This window comes from Homo sapiens, chromosome 20, assembly GCF_000001405.40.
Source record: "Homo sapiens chromosome 20, GRCh38.p14 Primary Assembly".
Classification (NCBI taxonomy): domain Eukaryota; kingdom Metazoa; phylum Chordata; class Mammalia; order Primates; family Hominidae; genus Homo; species Homo sapiens.
This window is the reverse complement of record NC_000020.11, coordinates 1,557,810-1,574,961: the sequence shown is the minus strand read 5'-3', so window position 1 is coordinate 1,574,961 and position 17,152 is coordinate 1,557,810. Positions and strand designations below refer to the sequence as shown.

Genomic DNA, 17,152 nt, shown 5'->3' with positions numbered 1-17,152 from the left:
TGCACAGAGCCCCTAATGGTGGTGTCATTCAGGTTATTACTGAGCTTCTGCAGAACTGTCGTTAGGAGAACACAGGCAGTATCCCAGCTGCCTGGGCCTCTTCCCGGCTCTGCCACTTCCTGGCTCTGTGACCTGGGACAAGGTGCTTCACCACCATAGGCCTCGATGTCCTCACCCTTTGATGGTAACACTGACCTCACAGACTGGGCCGAGTCTGAAGGAGTGATATTGTGTAAAATGCTTAGGGCATCAACAAGCACACAGTAAATGCTCAATAAAGGTGAGTTGTGTTAGGGTGAAGCTGTGTGACCTCAGACAGGTCAGGGCATCTCTAGGCCCCAAGTATAAATGGGGTTTGGGTTGGAGTCCAGTGGCTTTCAACCTTGGCTGCTCATTAGAATCATTGGGAAAACTATCAAAAAAAAAGTTTGCAAAGCTGGACCCAGGAACCCCCCTAAAATGCCAATTTAATTGCATCTAATTTGGGCCTGGATATCTAAAGTTCTTAATGGCTCCAGAAGATTCTCATACACAGCCCCCTAGCAAAAGCGGTGCCCCAGGTTTTGGGGCTTTGAGAACAGCTTTTTGGGTCATGGGTGCTTCAAAACAGCCATTCTGGAAACATTCTGGGAGGCCCCAGAAGCCTGAACAGGACCCCTCCCATGCTACTGGCCTCAGGGCCCAAGATAGGAGACTGGGACAAAGCCTGGCTCAGATGCAGCCTCAGGGCTGGGGAACCTTCTGTCTTGAAAACATTTGTATCTAAACACGTGCTGGAGTCCCAGCAAATCCTCACTCCTCAGCCCCAGAAGCCTCCCTCCCTCAGCACTCCCAGATGTCACTGAGGTATCTTTTCCCTCCTTCTTCCAAAATGCTTCCAGCTTCCCCTGTGATCTTACTTGAAAGCCAGTTCGCCAAACATGGTGGTTGCTGCTCCTTTTATCATTTGGGTTTTTTCTGGCAGCTGCGGTGAGTAGGGTTTGAGCCTTTCCTTGGTGTTTGTGTGCCTCTTTGTTCTGTTGCCTAAAGAATAGCTATGCAGCTCCAGAAGCAGTAATGACCAAACCTCATGATTACAGTCACAGGGGTTATTTATTAAGCACCTACTACATGCCAGGCTATGCCCTTGCACTTACCCTCACTCATCTTCCCAGGGTGGGGTTTCTATCTACTTTTGGCCCTTGGCCACCAAGGATCCTCTCAGAGTCTCGCCCTACACAAGGGCTCACATGAGGACCCCCTCTGACAAATAGAAGGAGGATTGAAGTGCTGAGAGGTACAGAGAGAGCAGCCAGCATCAGGCTGCCAAGAAGCCCTCAAAAAATCGGAACTGAAGACAGCCTCTCAGCCTTCTAGGGACACCCATGCTGCTGGTGTCTCAAAGACTTGACATCTTCAAGTGACACCCTCCTTACTGTGCTCTCACATTATTTCACGCATATCAGGGAGCAAGTTAATATTGGCAAAGTCAAACGTATAATATGTGCTTTCTAAGAGGACGGCAGAAGGTTCAAGGTAACAATTAGCAATTTGCAGACACCCTTAAAATTCATCTACATGGAGAAACTGCACTCGTTGTTCTGATTCTCCAATGTGTTTGCTTTCAAGGCCCAGAATAGGTTTCTGTCTGTTGGTGTGGCCTGGGTCTTTGTCTCTTGTAATTAATTAACGATGAAAAAGCTAACCACCTTTGGCTTTCTTAGTACTCAGTGATCCTTGTTTTTCACCCAAACCTGTCCTAACTGAAGATTCAGATTCCCAAAAATTTCCTCTTTTCAAATTTAGGACTTCCAGCAGATTAGAACAACTAACAACAACAGCAAAATGATTGTTAGGAAGGCCAAAGGAAATAGCATTTATCTGAAAGATAAAGAGGTGCAATTTGGGTACACTGAGTCAGTGAAACCCTGAATAGTGTCCCGTATGGCAATACAGGACAGGTTTTTTATAGGGGATTTTCACAAAAGGTTGTTTTTGGAAACAGTTCATTAGCTGGTTGAAAATCCTCAACTGCAAACCCACTCTCATTGGTTATTTCATTAAAGTACTCCAGGTGAAAGAGATCAAAATCCCACGGACCCTGGCTTCAGTTGTTATCCAGGTCTATCTACTGCAACATCCTGTGGCTTGACCTTTAGCAGGTGTGATTCCAATGCTCTTACAAACTCTTGGCTCTACGTTAAAGCTTTATCCTTAATTAATGCCTTTTATTTGACAGAACGAAATATTTGTGAAAAGAAAAATACGGAATGTTTCATATTTTTATAATACCTAAAGAGAGACCTCTGTGTATCTGTAAAGTCTGGGTTAAAGATAGATCTGTGTTTTTTGGGGGAAGCATCTTCTGTGTTTGATCCAGAGCAAAACTGCTTCCATTGCCCCATTGAATCCTGGCGACATCCCAGGAAGTAGAAACGCCGTCCTCCGTCCTCCTGTTTTGCGGATGAGGAGCTGGGGTTGTCAGCCCACCCCTGTCCTGGGCTGAGCAGCCTGGTTGCAGCTCTCACGGTGGTGCCACTTTGCCATTGATCCCTGTATTGGCTTCTATAAATGCCCTCTCTGAGGTTAGTGAGCCTTCCGGGGGAGGACAGCTAGGACCAGTTAATAACATGGAGGGAGACCAATCAGTAATTTTGTTCCTATGCCCAGATTGGTGGAAGTCTCCCTGTGTGGAGAGGACTTTGAACTCAGGCCTGGACTTCCCTCTGGGCCCTGCCCCTACTCACTGTCTGACCATGGCCTGGTTCTCACCTCTAAGAGCTGTTGTGTCCTGATCTGTAAAATGAGAATAAGGACACTGCCTTCACGACATTATTAGAAAGATTAAAAACTAACGTCTCAGAAGGTTCTTAACATGTCAAACGCTTATCATCAGTGATGGTCATCTGAGTCATGTCTCCTGATTATCGATGGTCCTTTTGTAGCCAAACCCTCTGCCCCCGTGGTATCGGGCCCTGCGGTGAGGGCCACACCTGAGCACACAGTGAGCTTCACCTGCGAGTCCCATGGCTTCTCTCCCAGAGACATCACCCTGAAATGGTTCAAAAATGGGAATGAGCTCTCAGACTTCCAGACCAACGTGGACCCCGCAGGAGACAGTGTGTCCTACAGCATCCACAGCACAGCCAGGGTGGTGCTGACCCGTGGGGACGTTCACTCTCAAGTCATCTGCGAGATAGCCCACATCACCTTGCAGGGGGACCCTCTTCGTGGGACTGCCAACTTGTCTGAGGCCATCCGAGGTAGAAGACCCTCACACCCAGCCCAAGCCCACACCTGGCTGCCAAGCCCACTCCCCTCTCCCCAGGCTCCAGAGCTTGAAAGGCCTGGAATCTAATTCCTAACTGTGTTGTCCACCTCCCATGCACCTAGGTGAGCCGGTCACTTACTATCATTTTAATGGCAGCTGTCAGGGGACCAGCAACCATGTGCCAAGCTCTGGGCTACAGAGTTTCATTTATTTCACCAAGAGCAACTACAATTAGTGAGCACCTACTAGGAGCCAAATCACTATGTGCTCGGCGATTTCACTGATTTTGCTACAGTTCTTACATTCCAACTGCATGCCAGGGGTTGTGCTTGTAGATTTCACTCATCCTTAGCCTAGCAGCAGCTAACAGTCCTTGGGCACCTACTGTGCGCCAGGCACTGTGCTTAGTAATTTCACTCATATGCAACGAGTGCCCTCAATGTCTGAGCACCTGCTGCCTGCCTAGCACTGTCCTGGTGATGCCCTCACTGTGTTGGTGGGAGCTACGTTATTTAGCCCTCCCTGTGATCTGTCTGTGCCACAAGATCAGAGCTTCTGCCCTGTGCTGTTTCAGTTCCACCCACCTTGGAGGTTACTCAACAGCCCATGAGGGCAGAGAACCAGGCAAACGTCACCTGCCAGGTGAGCAATTTCTACCCCCGGGGACTACAGCTGACCTGGTTGGAGAATGGAAATGTGTCCCGGACAGAAACAGCTTCGACCCTCATAGAGAACAAGGATGGCACCTACAACTGGATGAGCTGGCTCCTGGTGAACACCTGTGCCCACAGGGACGATGTGGTGCTCACCTGTCAGGTGGAGCATGATGGGCAGCAAGCAGTCAGCAAAAGCTATGCCCTGGAGATCTCAGCGCACCAGAAGGAGCACGGCTCAGATATCACCCATGGTGCGGTTACTTCCCATTTTTAAATTTTGTCTTTTTCTTTAATGTTAAAAGCAATATTCATGCTTGTCATAAAATAAGCTAGAAGTCTATAAATATAAAGTAGAATTTTAACGTCTACATTAAAATCCTACACTCCATGGGTCACCACTACTTAGAAGGTTCAAGGTAACAATTGGCCATTTGTAGACACCCTTAAGCCCCATCTACCAGGAGAAACTGTGCGTCAAGTCTGATGCACAACTTGATAGATATTTTGACATAAATATACATTAAAGGAAAAAAGAGAGAGGGAGGTGATCCGTTTGTTTATGAAGTCCTGTGTCTCGCCTTCTTCTGCATTTCTCGCCAGCACAGCACCTTGCCTTTTACACTTTCTAACCTCTACCTTGTCCCTATTCTATCCTAAACTTTTCCATCCGCATCTGTGACCTCAGCCACCAGTCTCCAGCATCTGCTCTATAAATTTCAGAAAGACAAGTGAAGTTTAAGCCTGGACAGACCCCCAGGTGACCTGGTCACAGCACAGGCTTCTTTTGTGTTCTGATGGTGATATTTGACCAACAATAATCACAACCACTCTGCACATTTACTATATGCAAATTTCTGTTCATCTCTGATCTCCTTTCCTGCTTCAAACACCCAGTGAGCTTGGAGTTTTACCAAAGGGGAAACCAGGACTTAGGAAGTAATGAGGGATGTTGTTGAAGACTTCTTGTCATTAGACCAGGTTATTGGTCCAAAGTAATGAAGGTAAATCTAGTCCCTGAGGACAGGCTCACTACCAGGCTATAATGGGAATTTGTGCTAATTAGAGAAACTTTCCCTTTCTGCTGCGCTTTGTCCCAAGGACCCAAATTTGGCCAGTGTTCCCCCTCTCTATAACCAAAATATGTCTTATTTCCCTCTCTTTTAATACCAGGAGGGGTCCCTCTACTCCAGTCGAAAGACAATCTTTGAGTGCTTTGACCCGAATACATCCTCCCACATCTCAGGGTCCCACAACTTCCCCATCAGGGCCCAACCCCAGCATAGAAGCCATTAAAGCTGACATTCAACATCCTTTGTGATTCTGCTACTCTTCTAATGATGGCTGGGGCCCAATCTTCTATTCTTTCTGCCCTGAGGCTCCAGGAAATAAGAATAAGGACTCAGGTTCCTTCCAAAACACCCTATGATGTTTGCGTCATCTCCTGGGTCAGTGCTGAGTCACGGATTTGTTCATGTCCCTGCCTGCCAGAAGAGGAAAGACACGAAATAGAAGACAAACAATGTCCCCAATCATCAGAGATGTGTGGAAGGTGCATAGTCACGTCCACTGAAAACTTGCTCACGCATGCACCTGCAGTTGCACATTGAGGGATCATGTGATCAAGGACATTTTTCACAAAACCAGTGTCATTGTCCACTTAAATTTTAAGTGTTCAAATCACTAAATTTCATAAAGTTATTAAAATAATTTCCTCATATCATCTAAAATGGAGCATACATTCACATTTTACCAAATTTTTTAGAACCATTTTCCTGTGTGTTAAATTTGGTTTTAATTTATCTTTAAATGCTTGTGTTTTCCTTTGAAAGATCTGGGCCCCAGGGATATTTTTGGATATTTTATAATCATAGATTCAATGTCGTTAATAGTTTAGGGTTATTCACATTTTTCGTTTCCTATTGAGTGAGCCCTGGTAAGTTGTGTTTTGCATAACTTTTGGTCCATTTCATCTAAGTTGTCATATTTATGTGTGTAGAGTTGTTCATAATATCCTCTCATAACCCTTTTGGTGTCTGCAGGGTCTGCAATGGTATCCCACGTTTCATCCTGATACTAAAAATGTGTCATTTCTCTTTTCTTTTTCATCAGTCATGCTAGAGTTTTTTCCCATTTTATTGGTGTTTTCAAAAGATTGACTCTTTGTTTCAATGGGTTTTTGTATTGTTTTTGTGTTTTCAGTTTCATTAATTATCTGCTCTCTTCTCTCTTTTTTTTTTTAAATTAATTCCTATCTCCTGCTTTCTTTGGGTTTACTTTGCCCTACTTTTTGTAGTTTCTTTAAGTGCGGGATTTATATTTATTGACTTGAGACCTCCTCTTTTCTATGTCCTCCCTTCATCACTTTCTGTGGCTGGGGGCTGGTATTTGGGCATAGAGTCCCTGCTGTTTGGCTGCTGGGCTGTTCCTCAGTCCTCAGGTTCTTACCTCGCTCTTCCACCTTGGAAGTTCTCCTATGCCTGCTCCTCATGATATTTCTTGGGTTCATAGTTGTACTTCTCAAGGAGGCACAGGATGAGATGAGTCTGTACCATCTGGACAAGGTTGAGTCTTTTCTTAGACTTCCAACCACCCACTGGGGCTGAGAGAGGGCTGCCATTTTTGGGTTCTTTCAGTGTGTCTGACATGGCATCCTGGCACATATGCTAAGTCTGGAAATGCATTTTAGGTTGTCTAGGCTGGCAGGCAAACTGCAGGATGCCTTCTGTGACGTGCTGCATCAGTGGCATGGGAGCCTAGTGAGAGACTGTGCCCTAGGGTTAGGTGAGTGTTCCCTTTTGACTCAGCCATTTTGCAGTTTGGCATTCTCTCTTCAAGCAATATTTAGGGCCTGGATTGTGTAGAATTTACTTTTCCTTTTCTGTTTCTTCTTTTGGCTTGGGGAGGATATTTATAGCGACAAGTAGCGATGCCACTGCAATTGTCCCCAGTAACTCTGAAGTCAACTGACAATCTTTGAGTGGTTTGACCCAAATGTCTCCTTCCACATTTCAGGGTCCCACAACTTCCCCATCAGGGCCCTATCCCAGCATAGCAGCCATTGAAACTGAGATTCATGCTCCGCTGTGATTCTGCTACTCTTCTATGATGCCCAGGACCCAATTCTCTATTCCTTCTGCCCTGTGGCTCCAAGAAATAAGAATCTGCAGTGCTGCCAAGAAGTCCTCTGGCTTCCAGCTGAACTTTAACTCATGATGAATCACTCTTAGTTTCTCATTGCCTTCCTCCCAAGAGTTCATGCCCAGCAACAGCTAACACCTTAGTTCTTATAACGACCATTTCCCAATCTGTTTTCAAAAGGCTAATGGCAAGGAATTTCCTTCCTGTGGTAACACTATCCCAGTTTAGTGCCAGTGAAAGTGTTATCAATCGCAACACAACAGCAAGTCACGGCTTCTCCAGTCCCATTCACCACCAGCCCTGGGGTCCTCATTGCTAGCTGATGAGTAATCAGATTCCCAACTTATATTTTAGAGTCTTCTTTCCAGACCACTTCCCAAGGACAGTTTCTCTGGGAGGCCACCTGAGGATGCATAAAGCAATGCAGGAGGCATCCTAGAGTGCTGTCAGGGTCAACATGCCTCAGGAATGAGGAGGCAGGAGTGTAGGAGGAGGGAGGTGCTGAGCCACAGTGCAGGCAGTACAAAGATGCAGCTGCTCTTGCAGAGAGGCAAAAGGCCGGAGGGTCCTGTAGATTTTTTTCAAATTGAGGGGAAGGGCTGGCCCTTCATATTCCCAATGCAGTCTATCTCTCATGTGGGCTGCCCCTTAGAAGGAATAAACTTGGGCAGTGCAGCTCTCCTCAAAGGAGAGAAAGCCCCAGAGAGCCACCCATCTGAGAACTGCCGGCCTGCAACACTCCAACACTCCAGCGGCTATAGATGCTGAGGTCTCCATTCCTTCCTTAAGGACCCACCAGCACCATTTTATTTTAAAAAAAATTTTTTTTAATACCTTTGTTACTTTTAACATCCAAAACCCCTTATTTAAAAAATGCAAACAGTCCCAACATGAGCTTCCGTAGATCTGACTCTCTGTGTCCAACAGAAAGATTTCAGATGACATCTGCACTGGGGTTGAGGTAGGAGAGATGATGTCTGAGGCCCTTCCAAGCCCGAGGCACATTCCCTGACTCACCAGGGAATTTTCCAGCCAGCAGGTTTAATTGGGTCTTGTCCCTGGAGGGCTCCCTGAGATCATGAGAATATGGGGTCCTCTCCCTGCCCCTGGGGCTAAGAAGGGCAGCATGCAACTCTCTCACTCTGAATCCATCCTCACACCACCTGCCCACCCTTTACTAATCATTCTCATGATCCTGGAGTGTTGGACTTGTCTTGGACTCAGGAGTCACCCTTGGGGACATAATGATGGGCTTCCCTAGGTTTGGATCCTACTAATCTCCTGACACTCCCTAAACTCTCTGGCCTCAGTTTCCCCATCAGAATGGAATAATAATCCCTGCCCCATGGGCGTGTGAGGATCAAGTGAGGAACCCAGTTGCCACATATATGAATACCTGAGCACACACTCTCTCCACCTTTTCCCTCCAGGAGGATAAACTGGCAGCCTGGGACAGGGTGAGTGAGAATGAGGAGCCACTTTCCCTGGCCTTTGCTTTCGGCTGGAGTCAGGAAAGCCAGAGCAGGATGCAAGTTCAAAAGCTTCAGAGGATTGATGGGCCCAGGTAGCCTCAGATGGGGTAAGTGGAGGCCCCTGGGATGAGCTCCCAGGTGGCCCCTCTCATGGCTCCTCCTCTTCCCTGATTTCCAGAAGCAGCGCTGGCTCCTACTGCTCCACTCCTCGTAGCTCTCCTCCTGGGCCCCAAGCTGCTACTGGTGGTTGGTGTCTCTGCCATCTACATCTGCTGGAAACAGAAGGCCTGACTGTAAGTTTAGGAGAGGGAGGACTGACCAAGGGCTCCTCCAGAAAGGCAAGGCCAGCAGGAGGGCCCAGCTCACATGCCATGCAGCTTCAGGGTCAGTGGAGTTTACAGAAGGTGACAGGGCTCCCTCAGGATACTCAGGAGTCTCAGGGAACCCTGTATGGGGCTCCCAACCCCCAGGGAGTGTGCAGGAGTTGGGATGGTCAAGGGTATTACAGGAGGTGGGATGCTTCAAGGGGGTTCAAAGTTGTCCCCAGTGGCCTAGGAGTCCCATGGAAAAGGTGGACAGAGGGGTCTAAGTGAGGGCCAACTGAGTGGGTGGTCCCTTGGAGGCCACTGCTGGGACTCCATGGGTTCAAAGTAATCCCCACCGTAGTGTTGAGAATTCCCAGATAGGCTGCTCTGAGGGCTGTTCCTGCTCTGACCTTCTGTGTGCTTGAGTGGAAAGCGGGGAAGAGGGAGCATCAGGACTTGGAAGAAGTGCTGAGCTGGCAGAGTCCTATCTCAGGTCTGCCTGTCCACCCATAACAGGCATCCCAAGAGGAGACCAGCACTAGGGACATATCAGGCTCTCAGGAAACATTTCTTAAATGATGAGCAGATGAATGAATGTGGATGTGTTTTCCAACAGCTCCTTCCTTCCTTCCCTGCCATGTAGGACCCTCAGTCTCTGCTGCCTCCTCCTTTCTTGAGAAGCTCAGCCTGAGAGAAGGAGCTGGCGAGAACCTTCCCCACACTCAGCTCCAAACGCCTCCTCTCCCAGGTCATCTGCCTGCCCACACGCTCCTGTTCCACCTTCACAAGACCATGATGCCCCAAAGCAGTGTCTCTATTCACGGTCCTGAGCAGGGGCCATGGGATTGGGCTCTGGGCACTGACTCATGGCACCTCCCTAGAAGGTGAGAAACACTCCAAATCTAAACACACCAGGACTTCTCCCATCCGTCGCCTTGGGACTGGCCATAAACCACAGACTCTCTCCAGGCTCTCAAGAGTTATCCTGTCTTCTGGATTCCTGCCTACCCCAACTCCCCCAGCCTTGTTGAGGTTCTCTACTGCCTCCTGAATACACATGAACCCCTATACCAATTTTAAGAAAAAAATGATTCTCTTTCCTCTTTGTCCAAGCATCCTATCCCTCAAACCCAAAAAGAAAGAAGCTCTCCCTTCTCTCTCTGTGATGGAGACAGTATTTCTTCTAGTATCCTGCAGCCTTCCCAGTCCTGCTGCTTGTGGTAGAAATGCTGCCACAGCCCAACATTGAGGAGCCCTCGATGACTGCCCTTTACAACTCATATTCAGTTCTGCCTCCAAAATGCATGTGTCCACTTACATGAGATGGTAAATGTTTAACAATGGACTTTCTGAAAGGGAAAAACCAAAAGCTGTTTTGCAGTGCTTGCCAATTTCTCTAGTGTAATAACTCCCAACCTGACCAATTTCACACTGCCAACAGTTAAACAACCAGATTGCAAGATTCCTGAAATTTAACAATTGGTTTTCAGGGCCCAGTCCAAGCCTGCTGCTGGAAACCTCAGAGTTAAATCCCTATTCTCCACACCTCTCACCTCCACCACCCCTCCCTGTCCCAGCCAGCATCATCTCTTTGGGGACCACTCCTCTGGCTTTCATTTTTCAGCCACAGTGATTCTTTGGAAAAGTCAAATCATATCACTTCTCTGCTTCTTCCCCAACACAGCTGCATGGCTCCCGCTCTCCCTCCTTCAAGTCTCTGCTCAATGTCACTTCATTAAAGGCACCTTCTATAAACTACCTTGTATAAAATATTATTTATTTTCTCTATCCCGGCATTCTAATTTCTCTTATCCTAATTAATTTTTCTTTAGCCCTTATTTTGATGAGTATTATGCCGAATACAGGCAGCCCTCACTTTTCATGGCAGTGCAAGATTGCAAAAATGACTGTGCAACCTGAAACCCAGGAAAGCAGTCTCCATAGTCAATCAGAAAAACAATGATCATTCTGTGACCTTTACCATTTTTTGTCAAAATATTAGAAACTCTCACACTCTCAGTTACAAATGTAGAGGACAATGAAAATATAATGAAATAAATATTTATTTGTGCACTACAATTCAAAGCATTAGAAACATTGAGAGTTCAAGTGCTGTTTCTTTGTAAAAATGTATCCAGAGTAGTTGGAAGAGTGCTTGCCTTTTTTTGTATATTTCTAATATGGAGTGATATAGTTTGGCTCTGTGTCTCCATCCAAATCTCATCTTAAATTGTAATCTGCATGTGTTGTGGGATGGGCCTGGTAGGAGGTGACTGAATCATGGGGGCGGACTTCCCCCTTGCTGTTCTTGTGATAGTGAGTTCTCATAAGATCTCAGTGAGTTCTCATGAGATCTGGTTTTTTGAAAGTGTGTGGCAAGTCCCCCTTCGCTCTCTCTCTCTCTCTCCCTCCTGCCACCATGTGAAGAAGGTGCCTGCTTCCTTTTCTCCTTCCACCATGGTTGTAAGTTTCCTGAGGCCTCCCAGTCATGCTTCCTGTTAAGCCTGTGGAACTGTGAGTCCAATTAAACCTCTTTTATTCATAAAATATCCAGTTTCTGGTAGTTCTTTATAGCAGTGTGAGAATGGGCTAATACACGGAGCAAGCATTGTTTCTTTTCATTTGTTTATTTTATTTTTATTTTTTTGAGATGGAGTTTCACCCTTATTGCCCAGGCTGGAGTGCAATGTCGTGATCTTGGCTCACTGCAACCCCCGCCTCCAGGGTTCAAGTGATTCTCCTGCCTCAGCCTCCTGAGTAGCTGGGATTACAGGCATGTACCACCACACCCAGCTAATTTTGTATTTTTAGTAGAGATGGGGTTTCTCCATGTTGATCAGACTAGTCTTGAACTCCCGACCTCAGGTGATCCACCTGTCTTGGCCTCCCAAAGTGCTGGGATTACAGGCATGAGCCACCATGCCTAGCCAGCAAGCATCATTTCTATTATACCTTGGTGTTTTGCCATCTTTCTAAGTTTGGACTAGCTTCCAACATCTTATCCCTTGAATTTTCAATATTGTGGAATCACTCCAGAAGATCCTTTCATGTGAAGTTTTTTGCTGGCATTTCAACCTTTGGGACATCTTCAGCCCTTTTATTACCACTCCTCTCCCATTTGTGGCAGTTTGCGTTTACTACCTCCCTCTGGCTGCCTATCTGAAGTTCCTGCATCAGGGTCTACATTGCCACAGTCAACTATTTGTACTTCTAGAATTCCACTCACATTCAATTTGAACCTCACTTGCAGCATTTTCACTTCTCATTTCTTCACTGCACTTTCATCTTGGTTGCAAAATTCCTCTTTCAATTATTCATTTCTGTAAAATGTCATATGGGCTCATCACTGGGAGGCAAGGAGGCAACCCAACTATAGGATTTGCTGTTTGAGTAGGAGAGCCATAGGGACCAATCACCAACAGACTTTGAAAGACACAACATGACTGGTTACTGATCATGACGAGCTTTTATTACCATGGTGATTTGTGGACTGAAGAGCTAGCCCAGAAGTTTGTACTCTATGCAAATTACATTAAATTTACTATGGCACCTAAATTTTGAGACTTGTGTTGTGGGACTGATGTTACTTAACTAAACTATGGTAAGAGAAATGCATGCATGTCATCACCAAAGTGAGAACTGCCTGTATTTATCTATGTTACGCAAATGGAATGTCAGTTATATCGTGGGGGGTTGGGGGTGGGGGAGGATTATCTGTATCCTCAGTTGCCAGAACTGTGTCTGCCATATAATAGGCTGTCAATTTTTTTAAATGAGTGAATACATCATTGAGGTCATTGGTTTCTACTAGGTGTTGGATTTCAAAAGAAAACTTCTCTTCATTTGATCACTTGGCTTGTGTGCTGTATTCTCAAGCTCTTTCTTTAAAGACTACTCTCTCTTCTTTCTGTTTAAAACATTCCATCAAAAATTCAACATCCTCTAGAAAGTAAGAAAGTGCTAACAAGAAAAAAAAGTCAACCCCAAAACCAAAACCCACAGTGACTGGAGTACATCAAAGAGGCGCAGGAACCAACTGAAAGAGCTCCCAAAGGCCAAAGCTGGAACACTTTCAGCAAAAAAATAAGTAAAGTAGTAATGAGTTATAGTCCAAAGTATAAAATAAATATCTGAGTCCATACTGATATAAATAAATGATTGAATAAATTAATGGGAAAGAAGAGAAGAATCTCCAGTGCAGAAGAGTCCCAGATAATTTATTTATACACTCCACTCTAAAGGAGGTGGAACATAACTTCCACTCCTGAAGTGTGGGCTGTGCACTGCGACTTCTTTGCAAAGAGTACAGCATGGAAAAAAGGAGAAAAAATAACTTTACAGTGGAAAAATCTGACAAATACAGCTTCAGCCAGGTGATCAAGAGTTCATCAACAGTTATAAATCAACATCAAGAATCATAAATCATGTCACTAATATGTACCTTTAATATGATGTGATGAAGATGACACTTTTCCTCTATTACCTTCCCCCCAAAACTCACAACCCCAATCTAATCATGAGGAAAACATCAGACAAATTTCAATAAGGAGGCATTCTGCAACATCGGGCCCAGAACTCCTCAAAACTGTCAAGGTCATCAAAATCAAGGAAAGTCTAAAAAACTGTCATAGCCAAGAGAAGCTTGAGGAGATATGACAAGTAAATGTAACAGGTATCCTGGATGGGATGCTGGAAGAGAAAAACGACATTAGGTAAAAAGAAAAGATCTAAATAAACTATGAACTTTGATTAATCATAATGTATCAATATTGGTTCATTGATTATAATAATGTATCATATCAATGTAAGATGCTAATGATAGGGCTCAATTTTTCTGTAAATCTAAAGCTGTCCTTAAAAAATTAAGTCTATTAGAAAAAATTAACGTCTTGTCCTCAGCTAGGTTTTATTTGCCTCTTGTACCCCGTGGGGAACAATGCAAGGAAATGTGCGGTAGGGAGACTTTGTTGATATTCCAAAGTTTTATCTCACTTCAAAAGCCTGAGGTTTCCTTTCCTCTCGTCCTTCCTCTGTCCACTACCAGAGCTCACCCCAGATCTAGGCACTCAGATCCCAGAGGAAGTGGCTTCTCAATCCCCCGTGATGCTCACCCTAAACTTTTCCCATTAGTAAAATCCAGGTCAGACCAAGTGGGATCAGAAAACTTTGGGTTATGTGGGTGAGCTGGGATAGCTTTGAGGACCTGACTATGAGTGAGTGAATAATGTCCTGAGCCCAAGTCTTCACAGGAACAAGTTGTTCCCATGAATTGTGTAATGGATGCTGAGAGGCACCTGGCTGTGGAGATGGTCCTCAGCATCAGCTCTATTTGCGATTGTCTCAGCTGAAGGGAGTGCCCTTGCTTAGGTCGTATCTGGTAACAAACCACATCTCATTGGACTCATCAACCTAGTCGTATAAAGGCCCAGCTCTCTTATCCTAACTCAGAGCAACTCTGGAGGAATATCCTAGTACCAGGCTCCATGCAAGGTCAGCTGAGGTCTTCAATGGGACTTCATTGCAGCCCAGCTTCTTCTTCTACCCAGTCCTGCTTCCATCTTCTCCCGTCCACAAGTGTTGATCCTAAAAGTACTCCCTGAAAGATAACCTGCTTGTTCATCTTCACCCCAGAGTCTGTCTCCCAGGGAACCCAACCTGGGACAGTGAAGCTATGCTACGTATCAGAAAGGTGGGGATCCCTTCATCTCTAAGGGAGCAAGTCAGTCACAGAAGAAAGCCTTGTTTATAGTACCTCCAGATTAATGAGAATCCACAAAAATGTTTATTCAAGAGAGGGACATAATTAAATCTATGTTGTAAAAAGACCAGTCTGGCTGAAGAAGGAGAAAGAGATTATAGGGGGCAAATAAAAATGGGGGTACCCTAGTGAGAAGGCAATTGTTCTTATTCAGGCAAGAGATGATGATAGAGATGGAGAAAGAGATTAATTCAGAAGGGATTTAGGAGGTAAATCCAATAGGGCCTGGTAGGGGCAAGATAGGAGTGTGAAACTATGCCCCCAAAGAGTTAAAGAAACCAGTCACTAAGAAATTCTTGAGTTTACAGGATAGCAGATAAGAAAAAAAAAAAATTGCTAAACTGCCGAAACTTCCTCCACTTGTAGGATAACAAAACTGACTAAAATCTGTTGGAACCAATATGGCCAACTGGAGTTTGCTCAGAATGAGCTTGCTGATGTCACAGCCTGAGTTTCTACCACGTATTTCATGATGACGCCCCAGGGTTTTGCACATGGGAGCCGTGAAGAGGCATAGAGAGATAACTGTACATGCCCAAGGACTTTCCAGACCTCCCCTTTCCTTTCACAAATCACATACTAATCCCAGAATCCAACCCCTAAACTTTTGCTAATAAAACTACTGCCTTGAAGCCAGCACATGGAGCTAGATTTGAGGTAGACTTCTGTCTTCCTGTTAGTCAACTTGCAATAAAAAGCTTTTCTTTTCTCAAAAGCCTGGTGTCACAGTATTGGCTTCTAGCACATCAGGCAGCAACCCCCTTTCACTTGGTAACAAGTGGATAAGTGAGGGTATAGAACATGAGTCCCTTCCTGGTTTGACAAACTGCTTAGATGATGGTACCATATACAAAACAGGCATGGTGTGGGAGAAGATAAGGTTTGTGAGTGCAGATCTGAAACTCAAACTTGAATATTTAAGGTATACAAAGAGGCCAGGCTCAGTGGCTCACACCTGAAATCCCAGCACTTTGGGAGGCTGAGGCAGGTGGATCATCTGAGGTCAGAAGTTCGAGACCAGCCTAACCAATATGGTGAAACCCTGTCTCTATTAAAAATACAAAAATTAGCCAGGCGTGGTGGTGGGCGCCTGTAGTCTCAGCTACTCGGGAGGCTGAGGCAGGAGAATCACTTGAACTCGGGAGGCAGAGGTTGCAGTGAGCCGAGGTCATACCATTGCACTCCAGCCTGGGCAACAAGAGCGAAACTCTGTCTCGAAAAAAAAAATACATATATATATATATATACAAATGAAGATGTCAAGAAGGTTGCAGAATATACAGGTCTGTATCATGGGCCCAAGATTACTCAGCTCTTAGGAGGTGCGTTCAGGATTCTAGCCTAGATTATATCTGATTCCAAAGCTGGCACTCTTGGATACTGACCCGTGAGTACTGACTCTCCAAGGAACTTAGAGTCTAATGAAAGGTGAGAAGATTCCTCAGAGTAGGGGAAGGGGAGGATGATGGAGGCTGGAGGAATGTTCCTGTCTAGTTCCAAGCAGGGGCCATGGATAGGAATTCCTTTGTGGAATTCATCATTTCAGAACAACGGGATAGGATGATGACATCACAAGGGGATGGGGACTCTTGTCGTCTCAGAGAGAACGTGCCAGCCTGGCTCTGCTTTCTTTTCCTAGAGGGTCTAACACCTCTCCCGGCCCTGACATCTAGCTGGTTCCTGAGGAGGAGGCAGAAGTCATGAGGAGGCAATGGGGAAACAGCCATGGCAGCCAGTGCCTGCCTGTGGATGCTTGGACATTAAAGGGTCACCAGCTGAGTGTGGGCTGAGTGTCCCTGAACACAACATTTGTGCTTAGGAAGAACCCATTCCAGAGCTGAGAGAGAAGGATGCCAACATGCTGCTTCCTCCCTCTTTCTGGGGGCATTTCTTCTGCCCCTCCAATCCCATCTCTGAGAGCTGGTCCCAGGTCCAGCCCAAGCAGGAGAGGCAGCCCTCACCTTCCCAGGTGTTTGTAGGCATGTTACTCTCCCTCCTAGAGAGTGTTCCCCGCAGCTCCGCCTTCCCTGCAGGCCTCCTCCATCCTCTAAAGCACAAATCATCACCACCTGCACAACTCGAATGTCTTTCTCAGCCATGCCTGATTCCTCTGCAGGAAGGAAAAAGGAAGCAGTTCCTGGTAGTGTATGGAGGGACCCACAGAAAAGCCAAGAGCCCACAGCAGATATTGCTTGTTTTTTACCTCTAACTACTCTGGAGTGCAAGAAAGGGCATCCATTGTAAAGTCCAACTCTTACCAAGTGGGTGAGGCTATAGACATCTTGTCTCTTTCTTCAGCTGTGCAGCTCAGACAGGCCCAGATGTTGAGCTCATGCAGGAGCTAGACCCATACCTGCGCATCATGTGGATGAGGCCTTTGTCTAGCCTATGTGTCTGAGGCTCCTAGATAGGCAAAGGCCATGAAGTTGGGGAGAACCTGTGAGATGGGATGAAACTCAGGAAGGAGTATAAGGCTGTGGGTGTCAAGCCCCCCAGCCCCAGCAAAGCTAAATACTTCCAGCAGCAACTTCCTAGCTTGAAGCAACCTTGTCTGTTCAATTTTATAATCACAA

General features: G+C 45.8%; 1 protein-coding gene and 1 long non-coding RNA gene across 7 annotated transcripts in view; one reads left to right on the top strand and one right to left on the bottom strand.

Moving 5' to 3' along the window:
• Nucleotides 1–13,577, top strand: part of SIRPB1 (signal regulatory protein beta 1) — a 58,625-nt gene extending 45,048 nt beyond the window's left edge. For 2 of the 4 annotated variants that reach the window (NM_006065.5, XM_005260641.4), the window contains exons 3-6: nt 2,925–3,242; nt 3,825–4,157; nt 8,695–8,809; nt 9,465–13,577. In NM_006065.5, coding sequence (NP_006056.2) covers nt 2,925–3,242; nt 3,825–4,157; nt 8,695–8,807 — 764 coding nt within the window. In that variant the 3' untranslated portion in view covers nt 8,808–8,809; nt 9,465–13,577. The remainder of the gene's footprint in view (nt 1–2,924; nt 3,243–3,824; nt 4,158–8,694; nt 8,810–9,464) is intronic. The other 2 variants (NM_001083910.4, NM_001330639.2) reach the window with 1 other exon arrangement.
• On the bottom strand, nt 13,425–16,955 carry LOC107985409 (uncharacterized). 3 transcript variants are annotated; one of them, XR_007067492.1, is made up of 4 exons: nt 16,838–16,955; nt 16,541–16,689; nt 14,297–14,417; nt 13,425–13,510 (listed from the first exon to the last, which is right to left on the bottom strand). It is a non-coding gene; the product is annotated as an uncharacterized LOC107985409 (long non-coding RNA). The 3 variants fall into 3 exon arrangements; XR_007067493.1 differs by lacking the exon at nt 16,541–16,689; XR_001754461.2 differs by lacking the exons at nt 16,541–16,689; nt 16,838–16,955 and adding an exon at nt 15,965–16,053.
• Nucleotides 16,956–17,152: the final 197 nt, after the last annotated feature.